Source organism: Homo sapiens, chromosome 13, assembly GCF_000001405.40.
Source record: "Homo sapiens chromosome 13, GRCh38.p14 Primary Assembly".
Classification (NCBI taxonomy): Eukaryota; Metazoa; Chordata; class Mammalia; order Primates; family Hominidae; genus Homo; species Homo sapiens.
The window spans coordinates 46,481,720-46,500,014 of record NC_000013.11 but is presented as its reverse complement, the minus strand read 5'-3'; the positions used below and the strand labels follow the sequence as shown (position 1 = coordinate 46,500,014).

General features: G+C 42.6%; 1 long non-coding RNA gene and 1 pseudogene across 1 annotated transcript; both read right to left on the bottom strand.

Moving 5' to 3' along the window:
* Positions 1 to 6,746: 6,746 nt before the first annotated feature.
* Positions 6,747 to 7,179, bottom strand: LOC124903171 (uncharacterized). Its single transcript, XR_007063786.1, has 2 exons — positions 7,055 to 7,179; positions 6,747 to 6,972 (listed from the first exon to the last, which is right to left on the bottom strand). It is a non-coding gene; the product is annotated as an uncharacterized LOC124903171 (long non-coding RNA).
* COX17P1 (COX17 pseudogene 1) lies at positions 8,756 to 9,158 on the bottom strand (annotated as a pseudogene).

Sequence of the window (18,295 nt, the reverse complement as noted above, 5' to 3'; positions counted from 1 at the left end):
CGGAGGAAGAGGAGCCCATGAGGGAGCCAGAGATGGAAACGTGAGAGAGGGGAGATCCTTGAATAGGCTCAAGGGGAAAGAGATGACAGGAGGATAATAAATGAATAGGTAAAGAAAAGATAGAAAGTCTTTTCAGGTGTCTGGTTAATCCCTAACTGGTCTTCCTCCACCTTCTTCCACCCTGCCAACCTTGTGAAGGACCACAGTACCTCTTTGGAGGGCTCTAAAATAAACTGCTCACACCAAAAGAGGTAGTGGGAAAAGTAGAATTTACTGAGTGTTTCATAAGGCAGGTAGAGAAAAGGGAGGAATCACACTCCTCTAAGCACACAATGTCACCACTTCTTCTCGGATGATGATTTTCTCAGTGACCAGCTCTCTCAGGCTCCTCCTCACGGTGTGTTCTTCCACAAGGCACTCAGCTTCTCCTCAACAGCTCCCCGAAATTCAGTGGTTTAACCTGCTATTTAAGGACAAGACTCAATAGTTTCTTTCCATCCACATTCCCAATCTGAGCCACTTACCAAGGTAAGGTAGTTCTTCCAACCACATACCGAACTCTCTGAGAAGGTCTCAGAAACACATTTTTCTCCATTTTTTCCATTTTATTCCAAAAGGGAAACAGAAAAAGGAGAGAAACTGGAAGGCCTGCATGCTTAAAGAAATGACAGTTCAAAATAGGTTAAACTTGAAAATACTTAGTGGCAAAAGCAGAGGGAGAAAGAAAGAGAGAACCAGCTACGTGGGACCCCGGAGACCCTCTTTCTCCCAGAAAAAGGAGCTCACCCAAGCTCAGCTTCCTACTGGACAATGGTTTCCTCCACACCCCCAGTTGCCGTGTGTGTGTGTGTGTGTGTGTGTGTGTGTGTGTGTGTGTGTGTATGTATAGGGGGTGTATAGTTATAATGTCCATGGGTGTTGGGCCCCAGCAGCTCTAAGTCCCCCATGGCAGAGGCTCTGGTGTTCCGAGACAAGTTTGTACACAGTAGGCCATGCAGTCTAAGTGTTCCTGATAAGGCCACTTCATCACATTTGTCCTATAAGAACACAGACACAAAGGGGAAAAGTCCCTCCCCTGAAAAGGAACCGTGGCCTTGCACACCTCTCCAGGTGTGGTCCTCATCCAGGAACAGTGGAGAGACTGGGGGGGCCACAGTCACCTCTGCCTCACTGCACTGAGTAAAGGCTTTTCCTGATCACGTATCATGTGACATTGTAGAATCTGTCCTGGCCCTCCTTGTATAACTCATGGCAGCCAGGAAGGGACCCTCTTGACATGAGGGCCATTATCTCAAAAAGTCTGATAGAACTATATTTAGCTAAGATAAATCTGTACAAGCAATTACTTAATAAATTACCCTTCTGATTATATGATATTTGAAAGATGATATTTTGAAACAAGAAAATAGTAATAGAAGGGAAAAATGAGAATCATCAAACTAGTTCAATCAGCTTGAAGGAATATTTATTGAGATGTTAATTTGTGCTGTATTATCATTGGATTTTTATCTTTTATTTTGTATTATTATTTTAGAGATTGGGTCTTGTTATCTTGCCCAGGCTGGTCTCAAACTCCTGGCCTCAAGCAGTCTTCCCACCTCAGTTTCCCAAAGTGCTGGGAGTATAGGCTTGAGCCACCATGCATGGACACTTTTATTTTGACTCTAGAGGTGGCTGAATCTTTGTGTTCTTTGGCTTAAAGGCCAAAGCAAAGGTTTCTTGGAGGCCAGGTGCATTGGCTCTTACCTGTAATCCCAGCACTTTGGGAGGCCTAGGCAGGTAGGTCACCTGAGGTCGGGAGTTCAAGACCAGGCTGGGCCAACATGGTGAAACCACATCTCTACTAAAAATACAAAAATTAGCCAGTCACGGTGGCAGGTGCCTGTAATCCCAGCTACTCGGGAGGCTGAGGCAGGAGAATTGCTTGAACCTGGGAGGTGGAGGTTGCAGTGAGGTGAGATCATGCCACTGCACTCCAGCCTGGGCAACAGAGTGAGACTCAGTCTCAAAAAAAAGGTTTTTTGGAGATAATTCCATCACCAGTATCACCTTCCTGGCATTTGCTCTGCAAAGCCTAAAGGGGATTCTACTGTATTTTCCTAGAAAGGGAAGAGTGAGTGCCTTGGAAGTGGTAGGTTGTAGAAACTGTGCTAACAGAGTGGGGAGAAGGCTTTTGCCAAGTCTGTAACATGGACTGTGGGAAAGTATTGGTGACCTGAGCCCCCATCCCTCTAGGAGGTGACTGGGCTTTAGAAGGAAATGTCTGGTTGGAACACTAAGGGTGGGTGCGCACTGTACCCTGGGGCTCTTTGCTCCTGACCAAGACCCTATGCTCAAGTTTGGCAAAGAATGATCAGAGTGACCCACCTTCAAGGGACTTGGACAAAGGACCTTGCACCAGCACAGTATATGGACTAAAGATCAAGGACCCCCTTCTTAAATGTTCCTCGGGGAGGGAGGAGACTATCAACAAGACCAAGACTAAATTTCTTGCCTCCTTTGTGCGCCCAGGGTCAGAGTTTACTTGGCTTCAGAAAAATAAGTGTCCAGTATACCCAAGTTTGTCGAGTAAAGTTCATACACCCTGCATCACCATAATACAGAAGATCAAATTTAGCTTTGAGATGAGAGACATAATGCTTTCTCTAAGGTCCTTGATACTTATGGGCAGAGACCACTGGTTTCTTTTCTATAGCATGCTGCCTCCCTTATTGTATTTACTTAGAGATTAGTAAGCTAAGAGAAAAAACATCCAATCCTAAAAATATTTAATAATAATTATAACAATAACAACAACAACAATAACAACGCCATCATGCCAAAGGTTTTACTTTTTTTTTTCCTGTTTTTTTTTTTCATTTAATTTTTGTTGAGACAGGGTCTTGCTCCGTCACCCAGGCTGGAGTGTAGTGGTGTGATCATGACTCACTGCAGCCTCAAACTCCCTGGCTCAAGCCATCCTCCCACCTCTGCCTCCCGATTAGCTGGGACCACAGGTGTGCGCCACCATGCCCAGCTAGTTTCATTTATTTATTTATTTATTTATTTACTGTAGAGATGGAGCCTTGCTATGTGGCCCAGGCTAGTCTGGAACTCCTGGGCCCAAGCAGTCCTCCTGCCTTGGCCTCCCAAAGTGCTGGGTTACAGGTGTGAGTCACTGTGCCCAGTCCATATTTATTGTTTAATTATTTGTACTTATCTGCCAGGCACAGTGGCTCACATCTGTAATTCTGCACTCTGGGAAGCTGAGGAGGGCAGATCACTTGAGGTCAGGAGTTGGAGACCAGCCTGGCCAACACGGCGAGACCCTGTCTCTACTAATAATACAAAAATTAGCTGGGCGTGGTGGCACACCTGTAATTTCAGCTACTTGGGAGGCTGAGGCACGAGAATCTCTTGAACCTGGGAGGCAGAGGTTGCAGTGAGCCGAGATCACACCACTGCATTCCAACCTGGGTGATGGAGTGAGACTCTGTCTTAAAAAAAAAAAAAAAAAGTACTTATCATTTTATTCTTATAAAATCCTGTAATACAGATAATATTATTATCTCCATCTCACAGAAAACTGAACCTCAAAAAATTTAACTAGCTGGCCCAAGGCTACATATCTAGGAAAGGTTGAATTGAATTGGGGTTTAAGACCAGATTCCAGAGCCTGCACACCCATCTAACCAACACACAATTTCTGGAGCACTTCACCACAAAATTGGCCTTCAAGAAAAAAGGACAAAAGCCTTGCCATCTGTTTTCTATTCGACCAGCCTGATTTATTTTAAGCTTTATGCATTGTGAGTGTGTTAATATGAAATTCTATGTTTCTCGTCTATTTCAATTCTGGGAAAACTCAAGCCTTCTATCAATGGTGTCCTTTAGTCTTCATGGGAAATACTTTAGCCTCGCAGCGAACCCTGCCCAGACCCCAAATCTACTTTTTACTCTATACTTGTAGAAAGCGTTCAAGCAGGACAGGGAATTAGGCATTGTGAACTTCCAAGAGAGTCTCACATTTGAGGCACTTTGAAAATGAAACCATATTATTTTATTGTGAGTAGGTTTGGCAAATGTTCTCAAAGTCAATATATTCCTTGTCTGGTTTCCAACAGCGATGCTTTGAGCCAATGGTCACCTACATGCCTCTAGTCTACATTTGAGCAAGGCATAAAATTCTATTTGAACAAACTGGCTTTTTGTTTTCTTCTTCTTCCAGAAGTCTAATTCCTCGCAACCACATCACTTAGCAATTTCACGTGGTAGTAATTAAGACCACATTTTCCATACTTGATTTTCTGGTCGGTGATAAATTGCATGAATGGAGAAATCAGGTTCTAAATACCCTTAACACACAGCTCTTTTTTGCTCCTGGCATCTTATTTTGCTGCCTTCTCAGGTAAAGAAGAGAAAGTAGTATATCTTTATTTTCTTGGTCTTCCCTGTTCAGGACACTTGGATAATGAAATATTTTCTTTCCTATGAGGTAGAGACAAGATTCCTGCTCAACAAATAAGAAGGAAGGGCCATTTCATGAGTAGTTGTTACGGTCTGAATGTGTCCCTCTAAAATTCACATGTTAAAATCCTAACCCCCAAGGTAATGATTTTAGAAGATGGGAAATTTGGGGGGTGTTTAGGTCATGGGAACCCTCATTAATGGGATTAGTGCCCTTACAAAAGAGGCCCCAGAGACCTTGTTTGCCCCTTTTACCATGTGAGGACACAGCTGGAAAACACCTCCATGGAATGAGGAAATGGGCCCTTATCAGATACCAAATCTGCTGGCACCTTGATCTTGGATTCTTAGCCTCCAGAACTGTGAGAAATAAATTTCTGTTGTTTATAAGCCACCTAGGTTATGGTACTTTGTTATAGTAGACCAAAGGACTAAGACACTAGGAGCTAAAGCATAGCTTGTGAAAGGAATGAGCTGCCCCAGCAGAAGTAGCAAGGCCCTCTGAACACTGAGTTCTAAATTGGCTGTCCTGGATCTGGAGAGAAGGGAGCAAGTTTGCTCTTCTAGGGCTCTCCTTCTTCCCATTATGTGATTGGTGGGGTCTGAAACAGCCACTTCAAAATGACTTTGCCATACACATACAATGGAATATTATTCAACCATAAAAAGGAAGAAAATGTGGACACAACCCACAACATGGATCAACCTTGAAGACATTATGCTAAGTGAAATAAGCTAGACACAAAAGGACAACTACTCTATGATTCCACTTATTGAGGAACTTAGAGTAGTCAAATTCATAGAGACAGAAAGAAGAATGGTGGCTGTCAGGGCTGAGGGGTGGGGGAATATGAAGTTGTTATTTCAGTTTGGGGTGATAGAAAGCTCTGGTGATGGATGAGGGTGATGGCTACACAACAGTGTGAAAGTACTTAATGCCACTGAATTGTACACTTAAGATGGTTTAAATGGTAAATTTTACATTATGTATATTTCACCATAATAAAAAATAAACAAAAAACAAAAAACTTTGCACTGAAATGGAAATGGCCAATTTTATGTTGAAGCCAGAAAGTTTTACAGATTGGAGGGAAGATGGTGTCAATTCAGAGGTGAGTAAACTGAGCTCCAGGAGGTGAAGCTCACAGCCGGAGGCCCAGCCAGGACTAACACCTAAGCTCCTTAAGCTCCCAGGCCATTGCTCCTCCCGTAACAGCGTTAACAGCCCAGGTTTCATGGGAGATACATAAGTTACATGGCCATTCTCTGGTGTTCCTACAACATTAAAATGCCTTCCTTAGATCAGTGACCACTTTTGTTTGTTTGTTCAGCTGCTTGACTCCCCAACCCCCTACTCACAATAAGCTCCTTGATCCCAAGATCCATGTCTTTTTTTTTTTTTTTTTTTTTTTTTTTTGAGATGGAGTCTCACTCTGTTGCCAGGCTGGAGTACAATGGCACAATCTTGGCTCACAGCAACCTCCACCTCCCGGGTTCAAGCGATTCTGCTTCCTCAGCCTCCTAAGTAGCTGGGATTACAGACATGCACCATCACACGTGGCAAATTTTCTATATTTTTAGTAGAGACGGAGTGTCACCATGTTGGCCAGCCTGGTCTTGAACTCCTGACCTCAGGTGATCCACCCGCCTCGGCCTCCCAAAGTGCTGGGATTATAGACATGAGCCACAGCACCCAGCCAAGATCCATGCCTTTTTATCTTTGTATTAACACCTAGCAACTTGCCCAGCATATCACCAAACCTGAATAAGTATTGTTAAAGGAATAAACAGGCTGGGTCCAATGGCTCACGCCTGTATTCCCAGGGCTTTGGGAGGCCAAGGTGGGCGGATCACCTGAGGTAGGGAGTTCGAGACCAGCCTAGCTAACATGGTGAAACCCCATCTCTACTAAAAATACAAAAATTAGTTGGGTGTGGTGGCACATGCCTGTAATCCCAGCTACTTGAGAGGCTGAGGCACAAGAATTGCTTGAACCCGGGAGGCAGAGGTTGCAGTGAGCCAAGATGGTGCCACTGCACTCCAGCCTGGGTGACAGAGTAAGAATCAATCTCAAATAAATAAATAAATAAATAAATGAACAAGCCACCTATCAGCAGTTATAGGTTGCTCAGCCTTGAAAACAAGTATCAGGAAGAGGATGGTTCATTATCTTATTCGTCAGTCCTTGAATATTGGGTGGGAATCCAATTGCAAAGAAAATACTGTATCATTTTGTTTTGTTGTTTTTAAACCCAGATTTGGAGTTTGAAGAATAAATCAATACTCACATTCATGCAAAGTAATATAAAGATATGTTTCTAATTTTATTAGGGAACAAAGACAAACAATAACAACTTGTTCCTTTGGCCACCTCTTCATTTTGTACTTTGCAATGCCCAGATGCTGTTTTCTCAGCCGGAAAGATGAAGTTTGGTGCCCTCTTGTGGTCTTCCATTTTTTAAAAGAGAAATGCAAGAAGTTTTGTCCTGGGAAATTTGGATCCAGGAAATAGCATCTTGCTTCTCTCTGGAGGAAAACTGCTTCCTTGAGACTCATTGCTTCTGATACTAACCATGCTTTTAAACAATTTTAAATCAGAATATCCTACCTGCCAAAGATGTAGTCAGGGTGGTTGTGATGTCTTTGTTGGTAACCCAGGAATGTATTTGAGTCCTGCGGAGTTGCTCTAAAGAAAGAGAATTAACATACATGAGATCAGAATTAAAACCCTTTTATAATTCCATAGTGCTAGATCACATCCATGTGTCATATAAGGACCTTCATGATCCAGCCCACAAATTTAACTTCATTTTCCTCTCTCTCATGTCCTCCTCATCCTCATGTCCCCTTGGTTAAAAACATTTGTCTATTTCTCTCTTGGTGCCTCTACCTCCTCCCAGTCTCTATAACGGCTGACAACTGATTGTACTTTGCTTTGTATTTATCCGAATCCGTCACTAATGGTTGTGCTTTTGAGCACAGAGTTTTGGTCTTGAGGAAGTAACTACATATTCCCAGCCACCCAATGCTTAGCACAAAGTTGCAGTAAATGTCGATTGAATTACTATAAACTGAAGAGCAAAGCAGAAAATCATATGGAAGCAAAGAACAGTGAAAAACTAGTAGTTGTCTCCAAGGACTCCAAGATTCTTCTCCCTTTTTCACTGCACTATGTGATCTGTTATTTGGTACAGAGACTATAAAGGCAGCATCACTTCCATGAAGTCTGCAGATCCCCTAGACCAAAAGGAGATAAAAAGATACATTTTCCATGGCCACTGTATGTTTTTTAGAAAGCTTTAGTAAGTCAAACTAACCCCTTAATGTAATGGAAACCTAAAGAGAGCTGAAAGCACTGTGATATTCCTCCCATATAAATATATGAGGATGATAGGACTCAGTGTATTGATAAAGAAATGAGCTTAGAGAGACGTTGCTTGCCCTAAGCCACACAACCCAAAATTGATGGCATGCGGACTGGAATATGGACCCCTGACTCCAGTCCCATGCACTGTTCATCATGTGGTGCAGTACTTCCTCTGGGCAGGGAACTCTATTCCTGCACTGGACGTGTGGGCTCTCCGTGCACACACATATACAAAATATTTTAGTAAATGTTGAAAATTATTTACATACAGCAGGAGGCCATCACTAACCAGGCTTCCACACTTCCAGTTTCCAACTAAAACAAAACAAAACAAACAAAAACAAACCCATGCCATGAAAACAAATGAACAAAACCACTAACCACACTCCCATGGGCCCAGCAGAGTAGCAAGAGTGCTTTGGAGGAATCTGGACACTTGAGACTGCATGGGAATCCATGCTCTGCCACGCAGTTCACTCCTCTCTGCCTTCATTTCCTCATATACAAAATAGGTAAGAAATTGTGTGTAGCGGCCAGGAGCAGTGGTTCACACCTATAATCCCAGCACTTTGGGAGGCCAAGATGGGCAGATCACTTGAGGTCAGGAGTTTGAGACCAGCCTGGCCAACATGGTGAAACGCTGTCTCTACTAAAAATACAAAAATTAGCTGGGCATGGTGGCACTTACCTGTAATCCCAGCTACTCTGGAGGCTGAGGCAGGAAAATTTCTTGAACCCGGGAGGTGGAGGTTGCAGCGAGCCGATATCACAACACTGCACTCCAGCCTGGGGCAACAGAGCAAGACTCTGTCTCAAAAACCAAACAAAACAAAGTATAGTTTGTGTTTTCTTTTTCTGGACAATTGTCTACACTGGTGAAATTCACTGCACATTATTTTATTTTTCTTTATATTAGCTACAGTCTTTGATGGATGATTTTTTTTCCACTAGTAATATTTTACTTTCTTCTTACAATAAATTATAAATACTTTTTCCACATATCAAAGTTCATCAAAGAACTCCCAAAATTAATCTTCTTCATCCTTCAGGAATTATTTATTCACACAGCAGACCACCATTTCATATTTTAAATCCTAGGGCTCTCATGCATTCCTTGTGGGCCTCAATTAGATGTCCACAGTGTTCTTCTCCTTTCTCGATGATACACGCATCGCGTGCCTTCTTGGTCTCCGGGCAAGTGCAGCAGGGCTTCAGCGGCCTCTTCTCCTGAGACTCAGGCAGGGCAGGGTTTGAGTCAACCAGACCCGGCATCTTTCGCGCCAAAAGCAGCTATGAGCGGAGACAGCCAAATCTATGCCAGCCTCGGCAAACGCCAATTCGTCCGATTTCTTTAAATTAAAGTTGATTGCACCTACTGTGCTATACATATCAGCAAGACCATCTCATCCTTCTCCCTCTCTTGGTTTCAAAATTAAGAAGTCATTTTAATTCTGTCACTCCAGATAAGCTCTTCTGTAATGCTCTATATATCCCATTTCCAAAGGTCAGGGGCTCAAGGCTCAGACTCTTGTCAATGTGGAAAAGGAAGCTCTGCCTGTTTGCTTCTGAGAGGCAGCTGTTCTCTGAAAACATCTACCCCAAAGGGAAGCGTGGGGGTGGGGGAGAACTGATTGCCTTTGATTACTTTTATACCCCTGTAACTGGCTTTAACTCTCTGACTTTTCATCTCTTTCAATACCAGTTCATGATACAAATATCCCTTGACGGATTGGGGAACTAATAGTGCCCTCTGGCCAACTCACTTCTGTATCCCAAAAGAGCCAATAGCAATCACAGCTTCCCAAGCACAGCCTGGCGCCTACCCTTCACTGCTGCATGTGGTGGTGTTTCTCCTTTATCTTAACACACACATTATCCTAATCAGGTGGGATTTGCCTGGCTTTTAAGCAATAGTCCTATCAGACAGTGTTTGTTTTCTTCCTGGAAATAGAAAGGATTGCTTCTGCCAGAGCAAGGGATTAAATCTTTATTTGGAAGCAGTCAACAAACACATTTGTAGTGAGATCTTTGAACTAAGCATCTTAGAAGCATTAACCCTTTTGATACCATCTGAAAGAGAAACTGAGCTAAACGCTTCCTGGAAAAAGACTAAAAATTAAGCTTGGTAGTAACCAAATTAGATGGCTACTGAGGACAACCTCGAATTTAGTAAAACAGGGGAATCTCCAAACAGGCGCTTGTCACTAGCTAAGCATGTGACTCCTACAAGCATTGATGATTGTGACTCAGGGCATTTGGGCAGAAACTTGGGATTGTGTTTCCTGGCTCTGCGCCTCAGAGTCCTGGTAAAACTACAGACCCACCACCTGGGAGATTTCTTTTCCTCTCTTAAAGAAATTCAAACCACATGTGGTGACTTATTAAAGAAACATATGTCATAACATATTTGGGCAACTCTTGGGCAAACTAAAAATAAGTTGGCAACAAATCTCAGAAAAGTGACTCAATCGTTGTCTGGGAAGGCAAAGCAACTTTCTGGAAGCACAGTGACTTTCCGTTTCTTTATGCTTCTGGTGTGAGCGGCTGCAGGGCTGAGGAGGACTATGACCAAGATGCTCCTTTATCCTTTCTTCCTGAGCAGGGTGAAGGTGGGGGTCTCCAGTCCAGCTAGAGATGTTTGCCTGCACTGCATCTAAGGAGGCGAAAGCCCAGCCAAGTCCCACCGTGTGCACCAGACTTGTTTGAAGGATGAGACTGCTCATGTGAGCAACTGGAGATCAACTCGTTTAGGTCTCTGCAGGTTTGCAGGGCACACTGGAAGGCCTTTGAGTTAACTGGCAGTTGGTTCTTTTTTTTTTGAGACAGAGTCTTGTTCTGTCGCCCAGGCTGGAGTGCAGTGGACCCATCTCGGCTCACTGCAACCTCTGCCTCCCGGGTTCAAGCGATTTTCCCGTCTCAGCCTCCTGAGTAGCCGGGGTTACAGGCACCCACCACCACGCCTGGCTAATTTGTGTAGTTTTAGTAGAGACGTGGCTTCACCATGTTGGCCAGGCTGGTCTCAAATTCCTGACCTCGGGTGATACGCCCACCTCAGTCTCCCTAAGTGCTGAGATTACAGGCATAAGCCACCTCACCCGGCCCACAGTTGGTTCTTAGAATCTTTTGTCTTGCAATTCTGTTGGGGTAGTAAATTTATAAATGCAAAAAATACCAAATACGCAGAAATGCGAACCTATCCCCCTTTCTGGTGTCACAGGAGCTAGGAAATACAAAAGCATCGATAGAGACATTCGAAGTTGCAAGTTGGTTTGAAGTTTCCCTGCTTTTCTGTGGTTATTGTAGCTGCTTAAGATGATGATAGACAAATAAGACAATCTGCTTAAAATTCACAGATGGAACTCGAAAATCATCTTTACAGCTAACACTGAATCTCTTACCGTTTGTATGGTATGGCAGAAAGAGACTTGGGCTCAGGGGAATTAGGTCCTGGAAGCCAAGGAAGGGGAGGAACATTTCAAAGAGGAGGAAATTTCCAGTTTTCTCAGACACTGCAGCTAAATCAAGTAAATGTAGGACTTAAACATGTGTATGGGATTTTTTTTTTTAAAAACAGCTTTATGGCAGTACAATTGACATATAACAAGATATTTAAATACAAATATGTAAAGTGTATGGTTTGACAAGTTTTAGCATATGTACATACCCTAAAATGATCACCAAAATCAAGATAACAACTTCTGTCATCCTAAAATTTCCTCCTCTTCTTTTGTAATCCCTCCTTCCCACCTGTCATGAACCCTCCTTCTTAGGCAACAACTGATCTGCTTTCTGTCACTATAGTTTGTATTTTGTAGAATTTTATGTAAGTGAAGTACTACAGTGATATGGTTTGGATATGTGTCCCCACCCAAATCTCATGTCGAATTGTAATCCCCAGTGTTGGAGGTGGGGCCTGGTGGGAGGTGATTGGGTTATAGGGACAGAATTCTCATAAATGGGTTAGCACTATCCCCTCGGTGCTGCTCTTGTGATAGGGAGTGAGTGAGTTATCGTGAGATATGGTTGTTTAAAAGTGTGTAGCACCTCCTGCTCCCTCTTTCTCCTGCTCCTGCCATGTAAGACAGTTTGCCTTCCCAGAAGCAGGTGCTGCCATGCTTCCTTACAGCCTGCAGAACCATGAGCCAATTAAACCTCTCTTCTTTATAAATTACCCAGTCTCAGGTATTTCTTTACAGCAGTATGAAAATGGACTAATACATAGAGTATGTACTCTCTTTTGTCTGGCTTTTTTCACTTTCACTTGGGCTGATTATTTTGAAACCGAGAGTCATCTGTGTTGGAGAATGTATCAATAGCTCATTCATTGTTTTGCTTTGTTTTTGTAAGCAGTATTCCATTGTATGGATAGAACACAGTTTGTTTACCCATTCACCTGTTGGTGCACATTTGGGTTGTCTCCAGTTTGGGCTATTACAAATAAAATTGTTTTGAATATTTGTATTTATGTCTTTGTATGAACATTTGTGTAATGGACTAAATGTTCGTGTCCTCAAATTCATGTCTTGAAATCCTAATTCCCAAAATGATAGTCCTAGGAGGTAGGGTATTTGGGAGGTAATTGGGCCTTGAGGGAGGAGCCCTCATTAATGGGATTAGTGCCCTTGTAAAAAGAACCCCTAAGAGTTCCTTGCTTTCTTTTTACCATGTGAAGGCAAAAGACAGCCATCTATGAACTAGAAAGTGGATCCTCACCAGGCACTGAATTATCTGGTACTTTGATCTTAGACTTTCTAGCCTCCAGAACTGTGAGAAATGAATGTTTGTTGTTTAAGCCATTCATGCTACAGTACTTTGCTGTAGCAATACAAACTGACACAGACAATGTGTTTTCCCTTCTCTTGGGTAAATATCCAGGAGTAAAATAGCTGGATCATATAGTATGTGCGTATTCAACTTTTTTTTTTTTTTTTTTTTTTTGAGACAGAGTCTCGCTCTGTCTCCCAGGCTGAAGTGCAATGGCACGATCTTGGCTCACTGAAATCTCTGCCTCCTGGGTTCAAGTGATTCTCCTGTCTCAGCCTCCCGAGTAGCTGGGACTACAGGCATGTGCCACCACACTGGGATAATTTTTTGTATTTTTAGTAAAGACAGGGTTTCACCATGTTAGCCAGGATGGTCTCGATCTCCTGACCTCGTGATCCACCGGCCTTGGCCTCCCAAAGTGCTGGGATTACAGGCATAAGCCACCATGCCCGGCCTGTATGTTCAACTTTTTAAGAAACTGCCAAACTGTTTTTCAAAGTGAAGCTACCATTTTACATTCCCACCAGCAGTGTTTGAGTTCAGATTCTTCCACATCTTTGTCAACACTTGGTAGTGTCAGTCTTTTTCACTTTAGCCACCCCACTGGGGGTTGTCCATAAAATCTGACAATCGGAATGTTCTGACCATCTTCAGAAAGCATCTCCATTGTAGGTATGGGGACACAAGCGAGACTGCAGTGGGCAGGGAGGCAGAAGTGAAGCAGGGGAGACCACGAGTGTAGGCTGTTTCACAGACCTTTGGCTATAAAGGAGTGCTCCAAATTTGTATGAAGATCAAGGTCACATATTCAAAACTGGACCACTCTAAATTGGAATTAGAACATTTTCAAGTTTATTAGTATCCTAGTTCACTGTGTGGGCAGTTAGGTGGAGCTTTACAGAACAAAAATTTGTTTTGAATTTTACCAAATCATAAGGCCACGTCACTTCTTGCGTAATATCTAAGCGTGAAGGTTGGGTAAAATTAGCTGGAACTTCTCACAGTCCATTAATAAAGCTTTAAATGTGACACATGTGTTGTTATCCTCTTCCAACAGGGCACACCCAGACAGAAGACAAAGAAGGCTGAAGAAGTAAGAGTGAGAAACCGAGAGGGTGAGCACCTGTCCCAGCTTTAGCACTGAAGGCGTTGCATCTGTGAGTGTGCGGGGCATGAGTTCTGCTTTAGTCAAAGACAAAACAAGAATCACGTCAAAAAAGCCTGAGGACTTGGATGGAGGAAAGATGTCACATGTTCTCTCATTAGTTTAGAAAATATTTCTTATTTCTTCCTGCCTGCCTCGGCCTCCCAAAGTGCTAGGATTACAGGGGTGAGCCACCACGTCTGGCCTCTCCCGGGGATTTTTATAGAACTATGTGACTACTTACTTCAGCCTCAGAACTCTCAGTATTGTATTGAAATGAGGTGCTTCTTCTAACGCAACAACTTTCCTCAACTTTGGCTGCACAATCAAATCATCCAGGAAATTAAAATTCCTGATATCCCTGACCAATCTGAGGCCCATCAAATCAGAATCTCTCCGGGCAATTCCAAATTGCAGCCAAGTTTTGATAGTCACTCTACTATAATAGATCATAAACACTTTGGGAGCAGGAATTTAGCCTTATTGATCTTGGTTACTCCTTTGCCAATACACTGCTGGTGTGGGACTGGCATAAGCACACTGACAAATGTTTCTTAAATTAGCTCCACCAGAAAGTGAGTTTATAACCTAGAAGGGGATAAAACAAACAAGCAATTTATTATTTACAAGGTTGTAATCAATGACCTAGAATAGATACAATGTAGTTGTGTCTTATTTGGGAGATGATGGGTAAGGAGAAAATTAAGAGTTTTTAATTTTTAATTTTTAAAAACTGGCACATAATAATTGTACATATTTGGGGAGTACATAGTGATGTTGCAATACATATAACATATGGTGATCTGATCAGGGTAATTAGCATATTCATCATCTTGAACATCATTTCTTTGTGTCGTGAGCACTCAATATCCTTCTACTAGCTATTTGAAACTATATATTATTGCTAAGTAGAGTCATTCTACAGTGCGATGAAACATTAGAACTTATTCCTCCTAGCTAGCTGAGCTGATTCAGGTTGTGAGCCAGCATCCCCACACAGCCCCAGTATACTCCTTGGGTGTTCTGCAAGTCCATCTGGGCCAGAAAGCGATGTCAACCTCAGAGTCCTTGTGAGATCCTCTGCAAGCCTGGATTTAGAGCACCCTCCAGTGCTGAGATGGCTTCAGTGGTCACAGGCTGAAGGAACTCAGCAGTCAGCTTAGAATTTTAGGAAAGCCCTCAGCAGAAGGACAGCCACAAACAAAGCCAGACTGCAAAGACTAAAATAAATACCTAATCCCTCAAAGCACAGACGTTGTCACGCATCCACAAAAAACAAGAACATTTAGGGAAATATGACCTCACCAAATGGACAAAATAAAGTTGCCAGTGACCAACCCTAAAGTGATGGAGATGTGTGATGAGGTAAATAATTCAAAATAGCTGTTTTAAGGAAGCTCAATAAACTTCAAGCAAACACAGAGTCAATTCAGAAATTTATCAGACAAATTTAACAGAGATTGAAATACTTAAAAAAATTAAACATAAACCTTAGAACTGAAAAATACAATGAATGAAATGAAAAATGCAATAGAGAGCATCAACAGCAGAACTGATCAAACAGAATAAAGAATCAGATCAAAGAGACCGTTATAAAATATGCAGGAGAAAAACGAAAATGAATGAAAAGGAAGGAAGCTAGCTCATGGAATCTTCGGGACAACATCAAAAGAACAAATATTTGGGTTATTGGTGTTAAAGAAGGAACTGAGAAAGACAAAGGAGTCAAAATCTTATTCAAAGAAATGATAACGGAAAACTTTTTTTTTTTTGAGATGGAGTCTTGCTCTGTCACCCAGGTTGCAACCTTTGCCTCCCGGGTTCGAGCAATTCTCCCTGCTTCAGCCTCCAGAGTAGCTGGGATTACAGGTGCCTGCCACCACACCTGGCTACTTTTTGTATGTTTTAGTAGAAATGGGGTTTTGCCATGTTGGCCAGGCTGGTCTTGAGCTTCTGACCTCAGATGATCTTCCCACCTTGGCCTCTCAAAGTGCTGGGATTACAGGCATGAGCCACTGTACCTGGCCTGATAACAGAAAACTTTCTAAACCTGGAGAAAGTTATAAATAGAAACCCATAAATCCACACACAGCCAACTCATTTTTGACAAAGGTGTCAAGAACATACACTGGGGAAAGGACAGTCTCTTTAATAAATGATGCTGGGAAAATTCAATATCCATAAGCAAAAGAGTGAAGCAAGATCCCCATCTTTCATCATATACAAAAATCAACCTAAATGAATTAAAGACTTCTGAATGTGGAAAAAAATAATTAATGTGCTTTTTCCTATTTTCTCACTCAATAATACAACAACAATCAATACAGGAGTCTTCCGTGACCCCAAAATATGTGGGGATTTCTCCCCGCCAGGAAGCAAGCAATTAATTCTGCAGTGAACACCAGCTGAGTGTTCTCCAATTTAATTCCGACACTATCTACCTAGTGATAATGTCAGATCCCACAGGTTGAGGGCTCATTCCCCAAGACAACCTCCAGCCTTCAGACACCAGTAGCAGGTTCAGGACTCTGAAAATTCTAACTGACCAGCTTCAAGTTGGAGTTCCCATGACCCTGTCTTTGGATTTGACTAATTTACTAGAGTGGCTCACATATCTCAGCCATACACCTACTTATGTTTACCAGTTTATTACAAAGGATATTTTAAAGAATACAAATAAATAGCCAGATGAAGAGATGCATAGGACAAGGTCTGAAAAGGTCTGGAGTGCAGGAGCTTCTGATCCATGGAGTTGAGGTGTGCCATCCTTACAGCACATGAATGAATTCTTGTTTACCTTCCTGTCAGCCTCCATGTGTTCAGCTCTCTGGAAGGCCCCCAAACCCAGTCCTCTTGAGCCTTTTATGGAGACTTTGTTGGATAGGCATGATTGAAACATGGACATCCATGTCAAAATGTGATTGGACAAAACAGGTATGATTCAATACTAATAGACTGATTGGGGAAACCCAGAAAGGCCTGTCTGTTCACGTCGTTCTGTCCTCTCTGTGCAGCACTTTTTTCCTTTAGGGTATGGGGCAGGACACTCTCGCAAATGAGGCTCTTAGGGCCCACAACCAGACTAGGGTCCTGCCTTGGGCAGGTCAAAGGAGGACAGGAGAATGTTAGAGAGAGAGAGAGAGAGATTCTGTTTTCCAATTCCTACTTCCAATGCCTGGCCTACAGTGCCCCAACATTATAACAAAATTCTGTCCGTGGAAGTTATGAGATAGGAATTGTGGATAAAAACCTACAAACACACACACACACACACACACACACACAATCACACACACATAGAGGCTGGCAGCCATAGGAAGCAGCTGTGAGAGTCTTTGTTTCTGTTCCTGAGTCCATTTAACCTTAAGGGTGGCTCTAGTTCTGTCCCCATTCTAAAAGCATTTCATTATCTCCCAATTATAAAGGACTTTTTTCCTCCCAAAGCTGTTTGCTGGTACAAGGAAACAGAATAATATACACTATATGTATGTATGTATTTAAGATAGGATCTCACTGTATCATCCAGACCAGAGTGCAGTGGCACAATCACAGCTCACTGCAGCCTCGACCTTCCAGACTCGGGTGATCCTTCCACCTTAGCCTTCCAAGCAGTTGGGACTACAGGCACATGCCACCATGCCCTGGTGATGAATATCTCAGTTACCCTATTTGATAATTACACATTGTACATATTTGTACACATTACAAATTATCACATGTACCCCAAAAATATGTACAACTGATATGAATCAGTTTTTAAAATACACTTTTGCTAAATAAATAAAATAGCAATGGAAACTTGAAGAGGAAGATGAGGTCTCAGAGGATGTGCTGTCTGAATTAATTCCAGAGGTCTCTGTAAATGAATTGTGCACCAGCTGATTGAAATATGAGGCTGGTGCTCAGGAGAAAGGTAAGGTCTTGATAAGCAAGCAGGGATGTGGTCTGCATAGGGAAGAGAAATAAGGAAGTGGATGTCAATATTAAAGAGAAACTATGGAACAACAAAAGAAGCAAGAATGACTGAACGTTGAAGAAGCCTCTGCATGTAAAGAGCCAGAAACGGAGAGAGAAACAGCGTAATGTGAGATCTAGAAAGAGCAGCTGTGGGAGAAAGACTGTGATGCTGAAATATCTGAAGAAGGTGTGACTGAGTCTTGAACCTTGACAGACAATAGGGTTGCCTAGGAGAAGGGTATGGGATGAGTAGATTTCATGGACTTCAAAAGAGCAGGAAGATAAGGAGGTGTTGATGGCATCTACCTCTTCTTCCCCTTGGTTCCTAACCTTCTCCCATGCCTTTCCTGCCCCTCTCTGACCCAATTGCTCTATCCGGCCAATGTATGGACATGGCAGCAGCAGGAATAAGTAGACAGATGTTAGGAGAATGGATGCAGGTTCTCTCTAGCCCATGGAAGCATAAGCTTTAATTACCCTGTCTCTGACTCAACTCTTCTCATGCTTATCAGTAGCGTAGCTGAGATCATTGAACATTCTCTGTTACAGTGCCTATTTTATCTAGAGCCAGCCTTCATAAACAAGTTGGCAGCTATCTATTAGAGATGGAATTTCCA